At 38.4% G+C, this 22,876-nt stretch overlaps 1 protein-coding gene and 1 pseudogene across 8 annotated transcripts in view; both read left to right on the top strand.

The window, feature by feature from the left end:
* KLHL7 (kelch like family member 7) overlaps positions 1 to 22,876 on the top strand; it is a 72,130-nt gene that overhangs the window by 19,019 nt on the left and 30,235 nt on the right. For 5 of the 8 annotated variants that reach the window (NR_033328.2, NM_001031710.3, XM_017012440.3 and 2 more), the window contains 3 exons: positions 245 to 369; positions 15,966 to 16,141; positions 19,048 to 19,222. Coding sequence is in view for 6 of the 8 variants with exons in the window: in NM_001031710.3 (NP_001026880.2) it covers positions 245 to 369; positions 15,966 to 16,141; positions 19,048 to 19,222 (476 nt within the window). In the remaining 2 variants the exon portion in view is untranslated. Of the gene's footprint in view, positions 1 to 244; positions 370 to 957; positions 1,248 to 15,965; positions 16,142 to 19,047; positions 19,223 to 22,876 lie in introns of those variants that run through there. The other 3 variants (NR_033329.2, NM_001172428.2, XM_006715757.5) reach the window with 2 other exon arrangements.
* Positions 4,297 to 5,113, top strand: AK3P3 (AK3 pseudogene 3; annotated as a pseudogene).

Below are 22,876 nucleotides of genomic sequence, written 5' to 3' on the forward strand. Positions count from 1 at the left end.
TTTAGAGAAGTAATGTTGGTATCTACCATGGCAAAGCATTGTCGTAACAAATAGTTGCACTACAAATTCTTCAAAATGAAAAACCGCAAGGATGGAAGAGTTTCAGTATCCTATGCCATACTAATTCAAGGACTGAAAGTTTAATTTTGTGTTTAATTTCAGGGGCTATTAGGATACATTCCACAGTAACATTTAAATAATAAAAAATCATGGGTAACTAATATTCCCTCTAACTTATTTGCAGAATTTCCGTGAATAGCAACAATGTTCAGTCTTTGCTGGATGCAGCAAACCAATATCAGATTGAACCTGTGAAGAAAATGTGTGTTGATTTTTTGAAAGAACAAGTTGATGCTTCAAATTGTCTTGGTAAGAAATATCAGATTCCTGTTGTGTGTTTATTTTGTTTTATCCTTTATTTCTAATTTAATTTTTTAAAAAGGCTGATTTTAAGTATCCGCATTTAACCTTAAAGACATTGTCCACTAGAACGTTTTCTAGTAATAAAATTTAAGAGGGGCTTAGAGAGATGCATATTAACCTGGGCAGCAGCAAGCTTATTAAATATTATATCAACATTTTCTAAAACACAAAATGGCATTTTTAATGGTTTTTCACGGATCTAGGACAATGAATAAGGATTGCATGTGGTGATAGTAACATGATTATGAATGTTTCCTTTTATTTAAGCACTTATGATATGCTAAGGTCTATCACAGATGAGGCAACTTATAGTTAGGTAACTTGCCAGAGGTCACATAGCTAGTGTATGAACGAGCTGGGATTGGAACTCAAGTAATCTAATTCTTAGCTACTACACCTTGCTGCCTCCCCACATTGTCAAAATGCTGTTTTATACTAGAAAACATAACCTTAGTCTATAAATTAAGATACTAACTGAGGGACTGCTATAGCCATTTTGAAGCTATTAATAAAGTATTTTCTATTTTGTGATAGGAGAAGCAGAAAAAGTTGATCAGAGCCTTCCAGAGTGTGGTATGCTTTTCACTGTGTGATGATCCTTAGTGGCACATGAATGAACGTCCAGATGTTTGTGCAGTAGCCCACCCTTATCTGCAGGATACGTTCCAAGACCCCCAGTGAATGCCTGAAACTGCAGATAGTACTGAATCCTATATATACTGTGTTTTTTATGATACATACATGCCTATGATGAAGTTTAATTTCTAAATTAGACAGTAAAAGATTAACAACAATAATAATAAAATAGAACAACTTTAACAATATGCTAGCATCACTACTCTTATATTTTGGGGCCATTATTAAGTAAAATAAGGGTTACTTGAACAGAGCACTGCAATACTAGGGTAGTCCACTTCATAACCAGGATGGTTTCTTAAGTGACAGGCAGGTAGGTTATACAGCATGGATATGCTGGTCAAAGGGATGATTTCTGTCCCAGGCAGGATGGAGCAGGATGACGTGAGATTTCATCACACAACTCAGAACAGCACACAATTTCAAACATATGAATTGTTTGTTTCTGGAATTTTCCATTTAATGTTTTTGAACCACAGAAAGCAAAACCATGGATAAGGGGGACTACTCTAATTCCATTTTCCTACGCTTGTTGTGATTCAGAGGCTTTAAAGAAAGGGAAGAGCGCTGGTATAGGAGTGCTAGGAAAGCAGGGAGGAAAGAAAAGTAGAATGAAGGAAAGTATAAAGAGGGGTCAAAGAATCCAGTCAGTGCTAAGATATTTGACCCAGGAGAAAAGAAGAGGGGTGCTAAATGACAAGAACGCAAAGACTGATGCAAAGGGCTCCTGAAGATGCTTCAGAATTTTGGCAAGTCTCCTCTGTCCCTACTTTTTGTAGGCTTTCCTCCTTCCGGACACTTTAGTACTCCTTCCTGCATACCCCCTCACTGTGAGCACAGAGAGAGAGATCTTGGAAGGCAGGTGGAAAGCAGCAGAATAAATTTCAGGAGGAAGTAAAAGTCAGGTGAAGGGAATAAAAATGAGACTTAGCCTAATATCCAGAAAAGGGATTGGACTAGATGGAGCAGGAAGAGAAATAGCTATGCAGGTGAATATACTGAAGGAATTTTTAAAAGGTAGCCATGGGTCTACATATTGAAAAGATCCCTATATTAGAAAATAAAAGGCCAATCTCTAATCCTACCTGTACAGCAGAGACACTCTGGCATGAGTCCTTCCATCTCTTTGGGCCGTAATTGGGGCTTCACTCATCAATAAGATTTATATTCCTAAGACTTAAGGTTACTTCCATTATATAAATAATTATCTTCAGACAATACTATAAACGGGGAATTACCTTAATTAAGTTTTTGGAAATGATGGCTTATGTATGTTTCTATAACTCCCTAGCACTCTAAATTTCCTCCTGGGGTGATTCAACTACAAAGAAGAATGGCTGAAATATAGGTAGGTAGTAGATGTGGTGGTGCAAAGCATAGTGTGGAACCTGGAGTGAGTCTGTGCTAAGCACATCTTAGGCTTTGGGCTTCTGAGGAGACCATTTAGTAGTTTTGCCTCTGGATACCTTCTATCCTTACTGTTCACAAAGCTGGGAGGAAGGACAGCCCCGCCACCTAGAAAGTAGCCTGATTCCTGGCTAAGCTTCTGGCAAAGACAGTGGCCCAGCCAGGTGAGCCAAGTGCCATAGCCCAATAACTAGGGAAACTGCTTCTGCTTGCTTTCTGTTTAGCCTTGAGCATGGCTCTCAATGTCAGCTGATTGGATAATTCCTAGCTTAGTTTTCACCACCTGTCAATTCTCTGCTGCCCAGAAAGAGTCCATCAATCGAGCTTCCACAAATGCTAAAGGAACCGGTGGCAGCTGATGGAATCGGGCAAAGATCATGTAAAAAATTAAACCCAGTACCAGCCTGGCCAACATGGTGAAACCCCTCTCTACCAAAAAAATACAAAAATTAGCCGAGTGCAGGCGTGGTGGCACACACCTGTAGTCCCAGCTACTCCGGAGGCCGAGGCGGGAAAATCGTTTGAACCGGGAGGCGGAGGTTGCAGTGAGCCGAGATCTTGCCACTGCACTCCAGCTGCATGAGACAGTGAGACCCTGTCTTGGAAAAAACAAAAAAAAACAGTAGTTTGAGGAACAGAAAACCAAGCTAAACAGCCAAAATGAATGGCTCCTGTAAGGCAAATTTAATGTGAGAAATAGAAGGGAACAAATTAACCGGGCATGGTTGTGCGCGCCTGCAGTCCAAGCTACTCCAGAGGCTGAAGCGGGAAAATCGCTTGAACCGGGAGGCGGAGGTTGCAGTGAGTGAGCCGAGATTGCGCCACTGCACTCTAGGCTGGACTACAGAGTGAGACTCTGTCTCAAGAAAAAAAAAAAAAGCAAACTTAAAAATACGATGTGTAAAAATATGGTTTTACAGTTTTTTGACATTCAATTGAATTGAAAAATAGAATCGATACTCTTAAAACTCAAACCGAAGAAGATCAAACAGGAAGTTGCCTCATGATACGAAACAAAAATGCAAAGGAAGCCACTAGTGAGAAGATAAAAGAAAGGGAAGGAAGATACAGGAACTGCAGTGTGAGGTAGGAGTTCCAGAAGGAACAGATGGAGAAAGCAATAATCAAATAAGACTACGACTTCTTTGGGTTTAAAAAAAAAAAAAAAAAAAAAAAAAAAAAGAACTTTAACTTTCGGACTAAGTTATACTGAGTATTAAACCTGATCAATGAACTAAGATATTCCTCCCTCAGATATATTCTAGTGATATTTTTCACCTTCAAAGATCAAAAGAGAGCTTACATTTGGGGTGATAAAAATATTCTGGAACTAGATAGTGGTGACTGTGGTACAACATTGCAAATGTAGTAAATGTCACGGTAAGTTTTATGTGTATTTTACCACATTAAAAAAAAAAGTGACCCTACAGCTAGCAGGTCCCAAAAGAAACTCCCACACCCACTAGCAGTCACTCCCCATTCTTCCTCTGGCAGGCCTGGCAACCATGAATCTGCTTTCTGCCCCTATAAATTTGCCTATTCTGAGTGTTTCATATAAATTGAATCATACCAAAGGTGGCCCTTTGTGTCTGGCCTCTTTGAGCACAGTGTTTTTAGGGTTCATCCATATTGTAGCATTTATCAGTACTTCATTTCTTCTTATGGCTGAATAATATTCCATTGCATGGATATACCAAAATGTGTTTATCCATTTACTGATGGGTGAATGTTTGAATTGTTTCCAAGCCAGCACATTTTATAGAGGAAAAGGAAAGCACTGGTTAACTTGAACAAAAAAAAATAAAAGTGCTTTCTACCATCTGGGACCTTGGCTGTGGATCAGGTGAGTGCACAGGTCAGACGAAAGCCCTACAGTTGGCACAGCCTGGGCCTCTGTCCATGGTTGCAGGGGCATCTCCGCAGCTACTGCATGCAGTGATCATGGGGGCCCCAGACCTGGGCTTAGGCAAGGGCACTGTGTTGTTGTACATCACCAAACACTTCAAGCTGAGGCACCTCTCCAGCAGGGACTGCTCCAGGACAACATGCTACAGGGCACATAAATTGGTATGTTAGCCAAGGCTTTTCTTGACCAAGGGAAACTCATCCCAAATGATGTTACGACTCGGCTGGCCCTTCATGAACTGAAAAATCTCACCTAATATAGCTGGTTTTCCAAGGACACTGCCATAGGCAGAAGCCCTAGATGAGCTTATCAGATAGACACAATGATTAACTTGTATGTGCCCTTGGAGGTCATTTAAACAACACTTCACTGCTTGCTGTTCATCTAGCTAGTGGCCGAGTCGACTACATTGAATTCAACCGTCCCCAAACTGTGGGTATTGCTGATCTGACTGGGAAGCCTCTCATTCGGCCTGAGAATAATAGACCAGAGACACAGTTATCAAGAGACTGAAGACTTATGGAGCCAGTCCCAGAACTTTACCAGAAAAAAACAGGGATGTTGGAAACACTCTCCAGAGCAGAAACCAACAAGATTTAACGTCATGTTTATGCTTTCCTACAAACTAAAGTTCCACAAAATCAGAAAGCCCCAGTTACTCCATGAGGAGAAATGATTATAACTAGTAAGATGAGCAGAACCTCCTTGTCCTTGGATTTAGAGGCTCCTTTTCCTAAGAATGGAGCATGTATAAATAAGAATGTAGGCATGTATAAGAATGTATGCATGTATAAGTTCTTTGAAAATTATATTATTTCTACAGATTTTATTCTGGATACTAATGATGTGCCAGATGAATCAGGTACTGATTCATCTTTTGAAATCATCTAATGTGTTTTATCCAGTTATCTTCTAGCAGTGTGCAATTCAAAAACATCATTGGTGTCTAAACTTTTAAAACATCCGTTAGAGCAAAATTAAAAGAGCAATTAGTAGTCTTTTTTCTTCAGTAAGAATAAGTGGTTGATAAAATTTTCATTTTTTTCTGGAAAAGTTTTTAAAAGTTACATGTCATTTGGGGAAAATATCTCATAAGTTTTTGCATAGAGATATTTCTAGCCCTGTGGAACATGGTTTTGTGAGACATCATATCTATAAAATTCCAGAAAAACAGCAACTGGATTTACAGATCTGTTGCAAGATGCAAATTCACTGCTGCCTTTACACTAAGAAATTTATAAGCTAGCCATATATGCTATATTTATTTTGTTGTTAAACATACCTTAAGTTTACTCAGAATTTTCAATTTGCTATACAATTATCAATTAGCATATGGGAATATATTACTTTAAGATGACTTGTTTTCTTTTGAAAATACATATGTGCTGAGGGATATGATTTATATCCCTCAGAAATTGACATTGTAAGTTCTTGGATAAGTTCTTGCACCACAGTTGAATGAATTTTCAATGGAAAATGTAATTTAAAGACTTATTTTTTCATCTGTTACTCAGGTTTAGAAATGTATGTTTTAAGATCTACTTGCCAGTTTCTCTTTTTGATCCAAACATATGATCTGCCTCGATAAATAACAACATCTGGTACCAAGAAAAAGAAAGAAAGAAAAAAGATTAAGAGTAAACCTATGGCACTATGTAAAGTGAACATACTTTGTTGTTACGAAATAGAAATAATAGATCAGGCATGTCTGGGGAGTATTCCCTTTGCATAACAAACACAATTAGTAAACAGGTATAGCAACAAAAAGAATTTACATAATGGTTAACAGGGATCAAGAAAGTGACTTTCCTGAAAGAGTTATTTATTCCTGATGACATTGATACCTGGTAGTGTTCGCTGCCAACCTATCTTAAGGGTAAAGAATTCTGCTGGTGAGTGTCATCTGAGCAACCATTTAAAAATCCGAATCATTTTAGATTTCTTAGTGGGGCAACAAGGATGCATGCTTATGTACTGTGACGTGGTAGGAGAAGTGGGCCAATATGAGAGGTGGAGATAAAACTCGACTGTCTTCCATGGCATATTTACTTTTACTTGATGCTAAATCAAATGAAACAAGACCTTGTACAGCTGTTATTAACTGCCTTTGAAAATTTGGCCCTTTTTTCCCAGGAACTTGAAATAAAAATGCCAACAAATGGTTCTTGTGTATTTTGGTAGAAAAAAACTTATTTTCCTTTTCTTTTGATTGAAAAAAAATTATTGTTGATCTTTGAAAATGAATCAAGGCTTTAAAGAGGATTATAGTAGATATTTCATTCTTTATAAAACTTTCCTTAATGCCTATTTATTTTTGTGTTTGCATGTTTATTTTTGTGGGTACATAGTTGGTATATTTATGTGGTATATAAAATGTTTTGATACAGGCATGCAATGTGAAATAAGCACATCATGGAGAATGGGGTATCCATCCCCTCAAGGATTTATCCTTTGAGTAACAAACAATCCAATTACACTCTAAGTTATTTTAAAGTGTACAATTAAGTATTGACTATAGTCACCCTGTTGTGTTATCAAATAATAGGTCTTATTTATTCTTTTTTTTTTTTTTTTTTTGGTACCCATTAATCCTCCCCTCAATCTCCCGACTACCATTCCAGGCCTCTGGTAACCATCTTTCTACTCTCTGTAGAAAGATGAGTAGATGTAGAAGATGAGTTCAACTGTTTTGATTTTTAGATCCCACAAATAAACGAGAATATGTGATGTCTGTCTTTCTGTGCCTGGCTTATTTCACTTAACATAATTATCTCCAGTTCCATCCATGCTGTTGCAAATGACTAGATCTCATTCTTTTTTATGGCTGAGTAGTACTCCATTGTGTATATATACCACAGTTTCTTTACCCATTCATCTGTTGATGGACACTTACGTTGCTTCCAAATCTTAGCTATTGTAGACAGTGCTGCAGCAAACATAAGGATGCAGATATCTCTTTGATATACTGATTTCCTTTCTTTTGGGTATATACCCAGAAGTGGGATTGCTGGATCACATGTTAGCTCAATTTTTAGTTTTTTGAGAAACCTCCAAGCTATTCTCCATAGTGGTTGTACTAATTTACATTTCCACCAACAGTGTACGAGGGTTCCCTTTTCTCCACATCCTTGCCAGCATTTGTTATTAACTATCTTTTGGATATGAGCCATTTTAACTGGGGTGAGATGATATCTCATTATAGTTTTGATTTGCATTTCTCTGATGATCAAGGATGTTGAATACCTTTTCATAAGTCTGTTTGCCATTTGTATGTCTTTGAGAAATATCTATTCAAATCTTTTGCCCATTTTTTCATTGGCTTTATTAGATTTTTTTCTTATAGAGCTCCGTATATATTCTGGTTATTAATCCTTTGTCAGATGAGTAGTTTGCAGATATTTTCTCCCATTCTATAGGTTGTCTCTTCACTTTGTTGATTGCATCCTTTACTGTGCAGAAGCTTTTTAACTTGATGTGACTCCATTTGTCCATCTTTGTTTTGGTTGCCTCTGCTTGTGGGGTATTGCTCAAGAAATCTTTGCCCAGATCAGTGTCCTGGAGATTTCTCCCCAGTGTTTTCTTGTTATTTCATAGTTTGAGGTCTTAGATTTAAGTCTTTAATTCATTTTTATTTGAGTTTTCATATGATGAGAGATAGGGGTCTAATTTCATTCTTCTGTATATGGATATCCAGTTTTCCCAGCACCACTTATTGAAGAGACTGTCTTTTCCTCAGTGTGTATTCTTGGCACCTTTGTTGAAAATGAGTTCACTGTAGGTGTGTTGATTTGTTTCTGGGTCCTCTATTCTGTTCCATTGGTCTATGTGTCTGTTTTTATGCCAGTACATGCTGTTTCGATTACTATAGCTCTGTAGTATAATTTGAAGTTGGGTAATGTGATTTCTCCAGTTTCATTCTTTTTGCTTAGGGTAGCTTTGGCTATTCTGGGTCTTTTGTGGTTCCATATAAATTTTAGGATTGTTTTTTCTACTTCTGTGAAGAATGTCATTGGTATTTTGATAGGGATTACATTGAATCTGTAGATTGCTATGGGAAGTATGGACATTTTAGCAATATTGATTCTTCCAATCCATAAACATGGAATATTTTCCCACTTTTTGGTGTCTTCTTCAATTTCTTTTATCAGTGTTTTATAGTTTTCATTATAGAGATCTTTCACTTCTCTGGTTAATTCCTAGTTATTTATGTATGTGTGGCTATTGTAAATGGGGCTACTTATTTTATTTTATTTATTTTATTTTTATATTTTTTTGAGACAGAGCCTTGCTCTGTCACCCAAGCTGGAATGCAGTGGTGTGACCTTGGCTCACTGCAGTCTCCACCTCTTGGGTTCAAGCGATTCTCCCACCTCAGCCTCCCGAGTAGCTGGGACTACAGATACATGCCACCACACCTGACTAATTTTTTTGTATTTTTAGTAGAAACTGGTTTTCACCATGTTGGCCAGGCTGTTCTCAAACTCCTGACCTCAGGCGATCCGCCCGCCTCAGCCTCCCAAAGTGCTGGGATTACAGGCATGAACCACCATGCCCAGCCCTCTTATTTCTTTTTCACATTGTTCACTGTTGGTGTATAGTAATGCTACTAAGTTTTGTATGTTGATTCTGTATCCTGCAACTTTACTGAATTTATCCATTCTAATAGTTTTCTTGTGGAGTCTTTTAGTTTCTCCAAATATAAGATCATATTGTCTGCAAACAAGGATAATTTTATTTCTTCCTTTCTGGTTTGGCTGCCTCTCATATCATTCTCTTGTCTGATTGCTCTAGCTAGGACTTCCAGTACTATATTGAGTAACAGTGGTGAAAGTGAGCATCCTGGTTGTGTTCCAGATCTTAGAGGACAGGCTTTCAGTTTTTCCCCATTGAATATGATACTAGCTATGGGTCTGTTGTATATGGCTTTTATTATGTTGAGGTATGTTCCTTCTATCCCCAGTTTTTTTTAGTTTTTTATTATGAAAGGATGTTGAATTTTTTCAAATGCTTTTTCAGCATTGACTGAAATTTTCTTATGGTTTTTATCTTCATTTTGTTGATACGCTGTATCACATTGATTGATTCGTGTACGTTGAACCATCATTTGCATTCCAGAGATAAATCCCACTTGGTCATGATGAATTATATTTTTAATGTGTTGTTGAATTTGGTTTGCTAATATTTTGTTGAGGATTTTTGCATCAATGTTCATCAGAGATATTGGTGCCTGTAGTTTTCTTTTGTTTAATGTGTCTTCATCTGGTTTTGGTATTAGGGTAATGCTGGCCTCATCAAATGAGTTTGGAAGTATTCCCCCCTCTTCTGTTTTTTTGGAATAGTTTGAGTAGGATTGGTATTAGTTCCTCTTTAAATATTTGGTAGAATTCATCAGGGAAGGCATCAGGTCCCAGGCTTTTTTTACTGGGAGACTTTTTATTATAGCTTCAAGGTCATTACTTGTTATTGATATGTTCACATTTGTATTACTTCCTGATTCAATCTTGGTAGGTTGTATGTATCTAGAAATTTGCTCATTCTAAATTTTCCAATTTATAGGCATATATTAATAGTTGCTCGTAGTAACTGTTACTGATCCTTTGAATTTCTGCACTATCAGTTGTAGTGTCTCCTTTTTCATTTCTGATTTTATTTGGATCTTCTCTCTCATTTTCTAAGTCTACCTAAAGGTTTGTCCATTTTGTTTTAACTTTTCAAAAAAACAACTTTTTGTTTCATTGATCTTTTGTATTTTTTTCATTTCAGTTTTATTTTTTCTCTGATCTTTATTTCTCCTACTAATTTTGGATTTGGTTTGCTCTTGCTTTTCTAGTTCTTTAAGATACATCATTAGATTGTTAATTTAAGATTTTTCCTCTCTTGATGTAGGCACTTATAACTATAAATTCCCTCTTAGTACTGCTTTTGTTGTGTCCCATAGGTTTAGGGATATTATCGTCATTTGTTACTTGTTGCAAGAAATTTTTCAGTTGCCTTTTTAATGTCTTCAGTGATCCCCTGGTCATTCAGGAGCATACTGTATAATTTCCATGTGTTTGTATAGTTTACAAAATTCCTCTTGTTATTAATATCTAGTTTTATTCCATTGTGGTCAGGGGAGATGCTTGATACTGTTAAGTTTTTTTTAAATGTTTTAAGACTTGTTTTGTGACCTAGCATATGGTCTATCCTTGAGAATGATCCATGTGCTGAGGAAAAGGATGTGTATTCTATAGCTCTTAGATGAAATAGTCTATAAATATCTGTTAGATCCATTTGGTCTATAGTGCAGATTAAGTCTGATGTTTGTTGATTTTCTGTCTGGAAGATCTCTCCAGTGCTGAAAGTGGGGTGTTGAAGTCTCCAGCCATATAATGCCCTTATTTGAATGATATGTGCTTTCTAAAAATGTTGTGACCTGCTAAACATGTATTATCACTAGGCTATCAGGCATACATTAGTCTTTATTAGAATAAAACAAAATTTCATAACTGTGGCTATTTGTCTTTGGTCCTTCACAGGGCCTACTCTGTCCCGGCTTCCTTTCTGCTGCCCTGATGTCTCACTGGCTTCTGAATGAGTGACTGTGTAAAAATAAGTTGGTCTTAAAACAGTAAAAAAGAAAGAATATCAATATAAAAGAATTTACAGGCTTTCAAAGAGAAGCAGTATAGTATATTACAAAAAATAACCATAAATTCTTTCCATCCATTTGTGTCCACCCTTTTGCAATGTGACTTGGTAGCTCCTCCCATCTCCCTTGTAATCTGTGGCCGTGTGACTTGCTATAGCCTGTGGAACATTAGCAAATGTGAAGTTAGCAGAGGATAGAAAAATGCTTGTGCTTTGGGATTTGCCCTCCATTGTTGCTGGGAACTCTTCTGCTGCCATGAGAAGAAGGCTAGAGACCATAGGGCAGAGATCAACTATCCCAGCTGGTGTCTACAACAAGTTACTTAGAAAAGAAAGAGAATCAGAATGCCATTAATTTTTTATCTGCAGCACAAAATTAGAACATAATGTCACAAGGTTGCAAATGAGAGGGAGAGAAAATTGCATTTCAAGGCATCATTCATTTGGATATTGCAAGAAAACAATCACATGTATCCCTTCTGAGAAAAGTATTAGAAGTACTGAAGCTAGCTAAGTGAGAGAGGTAAAGAGCTCAAGATAAGGATGTACCGGTTAGGTTTCTTACTTGCAAGCAAAATAAACCAAATGTTGCTGGTTTACACAGAAAGGGAATTTATGGAATGGCTAGTGAGTAACTCATAGCATTGCCCAGAAATCTCAAGTCAGATTTTAAAAAGAAGGATTTGAATAACACAAACTTGTTTTAGCTAGATAACACAGAATGTTTTACCTAGTCATCAGAGAACACAGATTGTTTTCAGATACCCTTGGAGTATTTACAAGTACTGATCATCAGCCACAGAAAAGCTGGAGCACCTAAAAAAGAGGAGACACAGGCCACGTCCCCTGATTACAGTGCAGTAAAACTAAAAATTAACTATGGAAGGACAGCTTTTCTCTCCCACCCCATTCTGAACACTTGAAAATTTAACCAAAGAATTATTTAGAAAATTAATTTTTAGAGATATTAAAGGTAAACTTATAGGCTATATAGAAACATGGCAATAAGCACACAATAAACTGAAATCTTTGGAATATAACCAAAGTATTTCTTAGAAGGAAATTGGTAGCCTTAAATTTTTTTCCAAATAAATGTATTTATTTTTATTCTTTCTTGACTTATGTATCCTACTCAGAGAAAAATAATTTGTAAACACCTAATAAAAGTATAAAAAATATGATTTAAAATATAGATTAGGCCAGGTGCAGTGTCTCACACCTGTAATCCCAGCACTTTGGGAGGCCAAGGTGGGCGGATCACCTGAGGTCAGGAGTTCGAGACCAGTCTGGCCAACATGGGGAAATCGCATCTCTACTAAAAATACAAAAATTAGCCAGGCATGGTGGTGTGTGCCTATAATCCCAGCTACGCAGGAGACTGGGGCGGGGGAATCACTTGAACTCCAGAGGCGGAGGTTGCAGTGAGCTGAGATTGCGCCATTGCACTCCAGCCTAAGCGACAGAGTGAGTGAGACTCCATCTCAAGAAAAGAAAAAATAATAAAGCAGAGAAATAAAACTAATAGACTATAGACTTGGAAAAACTAAAGCTAAGTATTTCAAAGAATGATACAAAATAACCTCAGACTTAACAAGTCTTATCAAGAAGAAAAGATCAAAGAACAGCATCAAGAATTAGAACTATAGACATGAAAGCAAAAGGCAGTGACCAAAACTGTCTTTTTTTTTTTTTTGACAGAGTCTCATTCTGTCGCCCAGGGTGGAGTGCAGTGGTGTGATCTCGGCTCACTGCAACCTCCGCCTCCCAGGCTCAAGTGGTCCTCTTGCCTCAGCCTCCTGAGTAGCTGGGATTACAGGCACCCACCAGCATGCCCGGCTAATTTTTGTATTTTTGGTAAAGACAGGGTTTCACCATGTTGGCCAGGCTGGTCTCGAACTCCTGACCTCAAGTGAGCTGCCCGCCTCATCCTCCTAAAATGCTGGGGTTACAGGCATGAGCCACCACGCCTGGCCAGGTTTTATGCTTTTTAAGACAATTTTGGGCTGGGCACGGTGACTCCTAAAATGCTGGGATTACAGGCATAAACCACTGTGCCCAGCCCAAAATTGTCTTAAAAAGCATAAAACCTGGCCAGGCATGGTGGCTTATGCCTGTAATCCCAGCACTTTGGGAGGCTGAGCGGGCGGACCACTTGAGGTCGGGAGTTCGAGACCAGCCTGGCCAACATGGTAAAACCCCACCTCTACCAAAAATACAAAAATTAGCCTGGCGTGCTGGTTGGTGCCTGTAATCCCAGCTACTCAGGAGGCTGAGGCAGGAGGACTGCTTGAACCTGGGAGGCAGAAGTTGCAGTGAGCCGAGTTCGTGCCACTGCACTCAAGCCTGGGCAACAGACTGAGACTCCGTCTCAAGAAAAAAAAGGCACGGTGGTTCACACCTGTAATCCCAGCACTTTGGAAGGCCAAGGCGGGTGGATCATGAGGTCAGGAGTTTAAGACCAGCCTGGCCAAGATGGTGAAACCCCGTCTCTACTAAAAATACAAAAATTAGCTATGCATGGTGGCATGCGCCTGTACTCCCAGCTACTTGGGAGGCTGAGGTAGGGAATTACTTGAAACCTGGGAGGTGGGGTTTGCAGTGAGCCGAGATCGGGCCACTGCACTCCAGCCTGGGCGACAGAGCAAGACTCCATCTTAAAAAAAAAAAAAAAAAAAAAAAGAAGGTATAAAACCTGAAGCCAGTAACCTCAGAAACAATCAAAAAAGTAAAGATGTATTTCTTTTTTCTTTTTGAGACAGTCTCACTTTGTCGCCCCAGCTGGAGTGCAGTGGCCCAATCTCAGCTCACTGCAACCTCTGCCTCCCGGGTTCAAGTGATCCTCCTGCCTCAGCCTCCTGAGTAGCTGGGATTATAGATGCGCGCCACCACACTCAGCTGATTTTTGTATTTTTAGTAGAGATGGGGTTTTACCGTGTTGGCCAGGCTGGTCTCAAACTCCTGACCTCAAGTGATCCCCACCTAGGCCTCCCAAAGTGCTGGGATTACAGGCATGAGCCACCATGAAGATGTATTTCTAATTAGTGCTCCAGGCTTGAAGGCTTTGTGGGTTAATTCTATCAACCTTTCAAAGAATAGATTAATTCTTACGTTATTTAAATTGTTCTAAATCTCTAGAAAGGGTAGAAAACTTGCCAGCTCATTCTCCTGGGGTAGGGTTACCATAATAGCAACATTGGATGAAGAAAGTGTGGGCTTGTATATACGTGTATGTGTACAAACACATATAACATTTTAGTTTCATTGAAAAAGATTTATTAATGCTAAAAAAAAAAAAAAAACAAGAATACCCCTCGTGTGGAATGGGGATAGTGGGAAAGGTTATGCATGTGTGGTGACAACAGGGACATGGGAACTCTGTAATGTTTCTTCAGTTTTGCTATAAACCTAAAACTGCTCTGAAAAAAATGAAGTTTATTTTAAAAATAATAATGCTTTGTGACCAGCTAGGATTTACTTTAAAAATGACACAATGGTTCAATCATTTCAATGTCAAGAAATCTAGTAACATAATTTACTATGCTAACAAGCTGTAGGAGAAAACTGAGTACATAAAATCATAGCAGCAGATGCTGAAGGCACCTTTTGTGATTTCAGTAGCCATTTCTGATGTTTAAATAAGCAAAAATAATAATCCTTAAAATAGGAATACTACTGGGTGAAACTATTAGAAGTGTACAAATACAGCCAACTTTTCACCATGAGCATCAAACATGTCATGGCATTGGTTAGTAAATTTTACAAAGGAGGTGGAAAATGCCAGCTAATCTAAGTTGGTTAACAAGCATCAGCTTTGAGAACCTTTATGGCACAAATATGAAAGCATCAAAATTCATTAAATGAAGACAATGTGAAATTGAAACATGGAAAAACAGATAATGAATTGAAAAAAAGTCAACATGATTAAGGATGCTTGCCACTTGATCACATACAAAAATAATTTGTAGTTTTATATAGAAGAGGGAGCAGACTTTTCCTGTAAAGGATCAGAAAAGTAAATATTTTAGGCTTTATGGACCACATGTGGTCCTTATCCCTCCTCCTTTCCTTTCCGTCTTCACTTCTCCCTTTTCTCCTCCTCTTTTTTTTTTTTTCCTTAACCTTTCAAAAAAAATGTAAAAGCTATTCTTAGTTGCTGACCCTACAAAACAGGCTATGGGCTAGATTTTGCCCATAAACAGTACTTTGCAGACTCCTGACATAAAAGTTTATATCTGAATAAGTTTGATGTATGTCATGTTTTTAAGTGGAGCTCCTCCATGCTGCAGAAGTTGTCCCAAAGTAATACAAAAGTTCAGTGCAATTCTGATTAATATCACATGGAGATTTTGTAAAGTAGAATGTGATAAGCTTATTTTAAAATTTGTCTGCAAGAGAAAATGTTTAACAATAGCCAAGAAAAGTTTGAAAACACATTGAAGGGGGCTTCTCCTACAGAATATAAAAACCAGCTGGGCGCGGTGGCTCATGCCTGTAATCCCAGCACTTTGGGAGGCCAGGGTGGGCGGATCACGAGGTCAGGAGATCGAGACCATCCTGGCTAACACGGTGAAACCCCGTCTCTACTAAAAAATACAAAAAAAATTAGCCAGGCGTGGTGGCGAGCACCTGTAGTCCCAACTACTCGGGAGGCTGAGGCAGGAGAATAGCGTGAAGCTGGGAGGCGGAGCTTGCAGTGAGCCGAGATCGCGCCACTGCACTCCAGCCTGGGCGATGGAGCGAGACTCCGTCTCAAAAAACAAAAAAACAAAAAACAAAAAAAAAACCAGTCTTTTATAAGACAGTATAGTATTGGCACAAGAATAGACAAATCAATGAAACAGAAACGGATCCAGATTTATGAAATTTACTCAACTAATTTTCCTGAAGTCATGCTTCATCTTGAATGTATACTTGGTTTTTCTAAAAATGATTTTCTATTCTTTTATTTTCTTTCTGTGTTTAGGTATAAGTGTGCTAGCGGAGTGTCTAGATTGTCCTGAATTGAAAGCAACTGCAGATGACTTTATTCATCAGCACTTTACTGAAGTTTACAAAACTGATGAATTTCTTCAACTTGATGTCAAGCGAGTAACACATCTTCTCAACCAGGACACTCTGACTGTGAGAGCAGAGGATCAGGTGACTAAATTGCCTTCTCACATTTTTCTTAATAAAAATGTCTTTATTGGTTTCTTAAAACTCATGTTTGGACACATGACAAGGGAAAGAGTCATATTAGGAAAGAATATGTTCTTTACACTAAACAGAGTATTGTAATCTTAGGTGCTTGCCAGGCTGGCTCTTTGAGAAATAGGCCACTTCATAGAGATAAAGCCATTGGGTACCATGGTAGGCAGAACAATGCCTTCCCCAAAGAAGTCCACTTCCCAATCCCCAGCATCTGGAATATACCTGTGTGGCAGATAGGACTTTGCATATGTGACTAAGTTAAGGATTTTGAGATGAGATTATCCAAATGGGCCCAGTGTAATCATAAAGATCCTTAAATTTGGAAGAGGGAAGCAAAAGAAGGCAGCGTCAAGTGGTGCAATGTGAGAAAGACTTGACTGGTCATTGCTGTCTTTGAAGGTGGAAGGGGACCATAAGCCAAGGAATGCAGGCAGCTGCTAGATGCTGGAAAAGGCAAGGAAGTGGTTTCTCCTGTAGAGTCTCCAGGCAGACACACTGGTTTTAGTCCACTGTGACCCATTTTGGACTCTGACCTATAGAACTGTCAGATAAACTGTCAGAAGTGTAAGCTGGTTGCAGTCATTTGGGAGCTGGGTGGGAGAACACTTTATTTAATTCATTCATTCATTCATTCATTCATTTATTGAGACGGAGTCTCGCTCTGTTGCCCAGGCTGGAATGCAGTGGCGTGATCTCTGCTCACTGCAAGCTCCTTCTCCCGAGTTCACGCCATTCTCCTGCCTCAGCCTCCCTAGTAGCTGGGACTACTGGTGCCCGCCACCGTGCCCGGCTAATTTTTTGTATTTTTTAGTAGAGACGGGGTTTCACCGTGTTAGCCAGGATGGTCTAGATCTCCTGACCTTGTGATCTGCCCGCCTTGGCCTCCCAAAGTGCTGGGATTACAGGCGTGAGCCACCGCACCCGGCCTTATTTATTTTTTTGAGATGGAGTCTCACTCTGTTGCCCAGGCTGGAGTGCAGTGGCATGATCACGGCTCACTGCAACCTCCACCTCCCGGGTTCAAGCGATTCTCATGCCTCAGCCTCTCAAGTAGCTGGGATTATAGGTATGTGCCACCACACCCTGCTAATTGAGATGGGGTTTCACCATGTTGGCCAGGCTGGTCTCAAACAGTTGACCTGCCCACCTCAGCCTCCCAAAGTGCTAGGATTACAGATGTGAGCCACCATGCCTGGCTGTGGGAACACTTTAATATGCAGACTCACTTAATCTCTCTTTTCAGCCCCACATCCTTCTCTATATTTTAAGCCACTAAGTTTGTGGTAATTTGTTACAACAGCAATAGAAAACTAATATAGGTACTATAAGATCATATGTTTTAAGTTGCTTTTGTTCTAAAAACAAAAATTTGCACTTAGCAATGTTCTTTTGCCCAGTCTTCTTCGTGGCCCAGAGTATCAATTTGCAAATTGACAGGTTGGACCTGGAGGACCTCACTAGATAAATAGAAAAAATTTACTTCCATGATCAAAATTGGTTGACTTAAATGCAGTATGGAAAAGGAGTAACAAGTAACATTACACTGGAGAAACGTTATAAACAGTACCTGCAGATGGTCAGCATTAGCATCATCAGTGATGTCATGTTGATAGTATGCACACTTGATGTAATGAAAATGCCATTCACCTCTATGATCGTCCTCCTAAAAAACCATAACCTCAGTCTAATAAGTAACACATCAGATAAACCCATATTGAAGGACATTCTCAACAAAATACCTGACCAGAACTCAAAACTGTCAAGGTTGTCAAAAACAAGGAAAGGCTGAAAAACTGTCACAGTCTAGAAGATTCTAAGGTTTAATGACTACATGTAATATGGTGTTCTTTATAGTATTGTGGAACAGAAAAATAACACTAGATAAAAACTAAAGAAATCCAAAAAAATATGAAATTTAGTTAATGTGTCAATATTGGTTCATTAGTTATGACAAATATACCATACTAATGCAACACCTTAACAACTGGGGCAGGGTATGTGGAAACTCTTTGTGCTATCTCTGCAACTTTTCTATAAATCTAAAACTATTCTAAAATAAATTTGTTTAAAAAAAGACCAATTCCCATAAAAAATTAACTCAGAAAGAGATCAGAAGTTAGGCCTTATTAATATCACTCGAAAATTAATTACAAATATCACCCCAAAATTAATTTAGTGGGTATGGGAGATGTGTGTGTATATGAAGCAATTGATTTTTTGGGGGGTGTTTAATGATTTGTAAGTTAAATTATGTTGAGGAACTTGGACTTGTTCAGTGCAGTTAAATGAAGCAACAGTATTATTTTGGAAGACAATTCTTTTGAATATCCTGTAATTTATTTTTAAGTATAGAATTCTTTATATCTTAAAGTTTCTAAAAAGCAGATAAGTCTATCCATTCATAATGCAGGAATATAATATTGAAATAAAATCATGGGTGACCTTCGTATCTCCTGGAATGGACGGCCTCTTGAGAAATTAACCTGTTTTCCTGGTACTAAACTAAATGAGTATATGTTGAAACTTTTGTTGACTGATAGTTTTTTTTCAGTGCAATGTATATCATGTCTTTGTCTGAAAAGGAAGCTATCTTTTTTTTAATCATAAATTCAACATCCTCCCTGTCATTACACTACATAATAGTAGTTAGTTCTAAAAAACATATTACCTACAAGACTCACTAGAGCAGTATGTAAGCTGTTTTGAAGAACCAGCAAGTGTCCAGGGATGAAAAATACTAGAAATAAGTGGTTATCTCCTTATGAGGTTCTCTCCCTTCAATATGAGAGTAAACATAGGTAATTGGAAATGTTGCTGTCTTCTAAGAACTTTACTGTGCTGTTTTTCCCCCTTAGGTTTATGATGCTGCAGTCAGGTGGTTGAAATACGATGAACCTAATCGCCAGCCATTTATGGTTGATATCCTTGCTAAAGTCAGGTTTCCTCTTATATCAAAGAATTTCTTAAGTAAAACGGTACAAGCTGAACCACTTATTCAAGACAATCCTGAATGCCTTAAGATGGTGATAAGTAAGTTGCCTTAATAACCATTTATAACCTGATCATGTAGCCAGTTTCTCATGGGCTTAAAACCCTTTAGAATGGATTAGACTCAGTAGCCAGGGAGAAACATTCAAGATTTTGCTCTTCTAGATAGTTAATCCCTTGGGTTTCTGAACTGTACACCTGGAAGGGACTTGGCCTCAACCCTTATTTTATAGGGGTATATGTGATAGAAGGTACAAATTACTTATGCTTTTCCTATTCTTGTATACAATAACTTTCATGCGCTTTTGTTTCTAGTGTTTCCTTTTTTATTTTACTCAGCCAAGTAGTGTACTGTGATCACATTTTCTTTCTTAAACAGTATTTTGTCTTTTTTGGCCCAGAGATAAATATTGCCACATCGTTTTCATTTGCTTCCATTTTCTTGCTTGCTGGCTAAGTCCCAACCCCTCAACACCTTTGTACAATGCCACTTAATAAAATTGTCTATACAATTAAACAATCTGTTGCTTTTCTTTCTTGGAAATATGCCTTGTAGAACCTTTCTTCTGCCTATTCCAATATGAACTGTTTGCTCTCTAGGCCTGAGGCACAGTTCTTGTCCTAGGGTTTCCTTCTGCACAATCCTGGGAAGCCATTTCACTCCTCTCCTGTTAGATCGGTTGTCTTCTTGGATCCTGGCTGTCCTCTACCTTAATTCTTTTTGTTTGATGCAACATATCCTCTAAAAGGTTCCTGATAGAGTATATTATCAGTAAATATTTGGAGGCTTGACAAATCTCATATGTTTATTTTATCATAAATTATTGAAGGAGGCTGGGCACAGTAGCCCACAACTCTAATCACAGCATTTTGGTAGGTCAAGACAGGAAGATTGCTTGAGGTCAGGAGTTTGAGATTCACCTGGGCAACATAGCGAGATTCCAACTCTCCAAAAAAAAAAAAACCTAGCCGGGCGTGGAGGCATGTGCCTGTGGTCCCAACTACTCCAGTGGCTGAGGCAGGAGGATTGCTTGAGCCCAGGAGTTTGAGGTTACAGTGAGCTCTGATCCTGCCACTGCACTGCTACAGCCTGGGCAACAGAGTAAGACCTTGTCTATTTAAAAAAGAAAGAAAGATAGTTAAACTGAAGATAGAATTATGCTGAAAATCATTTTCAGTTAGAATTTATCTTCTAGCTTCCAGTGTTATTTTGAGAAGTCTAGTGCCAATCTGATCCTTTTCTTTCTTTTTTTTTTTAATTATCCATCTTTGTCTCTTGGCCTTTTTCTGAGAGAGAGCTTGATTTTTTTCAACCCTTTTATTTCAGCTATACTTTTTAATTTCTGGAGTTTTTATTCTCTAATTTATTATTTCATGGCTGCAATATCTTATCACTCTAAAGTAGTCTTTGTAGTGCTTTTGAAGTTTTCTTATGTTGTCTGTATTTTCTATATTAGAGTTTCCTTTTCCTTTTTTTATTGGAAGCTTTTCTTAAATATTTGGTTTTATATCATATGAGAGTGAGTTATTACAAAACTGATAGATAAGGCTGTATGTATGAGTGGGCATCTCAGTTCTTGGGCTAAACTGTAGCATAATCAGAGTAGCTGGTCATTTTTAAAATTGGGGACCCCCAGATGTCAGTATTTGTAGATATTGTCTCAGGGAACTATAAGCTGGGTGTAGGCATTTGGGAACTGGATGAAGTAATATTTTGCTATGCAGACTTTCACTTAATCCATATTTGTATTTGTTTTATTTTACTTTATTTTTTTGAGACAGAGTCTCCCAGGCTGGAGTACAGTGGTAAAATCACAACTCACTACAGCCTTGACCTGTCCGGCACGAGTGATCCTTTCACCTCAGCCTCCCAAGTAGCTGGGACTACAGGCACACACCACTATGCCCAGCTAATTTTTGTATTTTTTTGTCAAGATGATGTCTCGCTATCTTGTTCAGGCTGGTCTCAAACTTCTGGGCTCAAGCAACCCTCCTGCCGAGGCTTCCCAAGATGCTGGGATTACAGGCATGAACCACAGTGCCTGGCCTTAATCCATGTTTTCAGACTCCCATCCTTTTCTGTGCTGTTCTCTGAGTCTGGAACATTTCTCTTTCAGTATTTCCAAAGACGAATCCTGTCTCCTACAGTGGTACAGGTACAGTGGGTACCTGACTGTGCAACAGGGGAAGGAGAACTGGAAGTTCAATTGTCGTTTGTTCGGTATTTTAGAGTTATCTTGTTTTCATCCCTACCTGCACTTCTAGGTACTTAGTATCTCCAATTATGAGCCTTTTCAGGGCTCTGCAGGGTAATTTAGCTTGCTTTTCATTGGTGTCTCCTGGCACAACCATTTAGGTTTAACAGACACTCCATCTGCCAGCTGTCTTCATAGATTGTGTTTTGGGGTTGCAAGTCTCTTAGTACTATCAAAGACGGAGTTTGTGTTTGTTTCTTGTTTCTTTGTTGTTTGGGATAGCTTTCAAGAGAAGAGGAGAAAAAGGATCTTAAAATGGCCAAGTCTGATCTCATGTTGTTTTTATATTGTTAAGTCTGAACTAGTCTTTTCCTTTGTGATGTGGTTGGAAAGGTCTTCCCTGTTCCAAGGAGATTTTTAAAAATTAGCTAAATTTTCCTCTTGTGCATTTATCACTTATAGAGTTCTTCTTCTTCTTCTTCTTCTTCTTTTTTTTTTAATTTTAAGGCTATATCTTACTGAAATCTATTGGGTGTGAAATAAATAATATTTTTCCTAATATATCTGATAAGATGGCTCAATACCATTATTGAAAAATTCATTTTTTCCCACTGATTTGAAACACATTAAACTAAATTTCCATATATCTATATGTACACACATCACTTCTCAGTATTTTGGCTAAGATCAAGTATAGTGTAGGTACACATACACACAGTCAGTTTCTCTTCTACTTCATTCTAATACCTTTTAATTATTGTTGTACTTCATTTAAATTGCCATGTGTCTCTGGAGAATTTGTAATTTTCTTATGAGTAATTTTCTTATGAGTAATTTTCTTAATTTATTTCAGATATTTTTGTTGTCATTGTAAATTGTATCTTTTTCCTTCTATGTATTACTTATTAACCTGGACTTTTTTTTTTTTTTTTTTAGACAGTCTCGCTGGCTTCCAGGCTGGAGTGCAGTGGCATGATCTTGGCTAACTGCAACCTCCACCTCCTGGGTTCAAGTGATTCTCGTGCCTCAGCCTCCCAAGTAGCTGGGATTATGGGCGTGCGCCACCACACCCAGATAATTTTTGTATTTTTAGCAGAGACAGGGTTTCGCCATGTTGGTCAGGCTAGCCTCAAACTCCTGGCCTCAAGAGACCCGCCCACCTCTGCCTCCCAAAGTGCTGGGATTACAGGTGTGAGCCACCAACGCTGGCCTACCCTGGTCATTTTTTATGGTCTTTTTTCCTTGCTTGTGTTTTCAGTTCTTGCTTTACCTTAAACTCTTCAAATGTTATTTTATGTTTTATGTTTGGTAATGTCAGTATCTGAAGTCCCTGAGGAACAGTGCTGCTATTTGTTGGTTCTATTGACTTATTTCTGGTGGCGTAATTCCTTATATGTTTTGTAATTTTGAATGGTATGCTTATATTTGATTGACCTTAATCATCAGGAATATTGGGAGGCTTAGGTTGTGTCTTCTGTGTTCTCTGGCAGGTCTTCTCTCT

The sequence above is a fragment of the Homo sapiens genome, chromosome 7 (assembly GCF_000001405.40).
Source record: "Homo sapiens chromosome 7, GRCh38.p14 Primary Assembly".
NCBI lineage: Eukaryota > Metazoa > Chordata > Mammalia > Primates > Hominidae > Homo > Homo sapiens.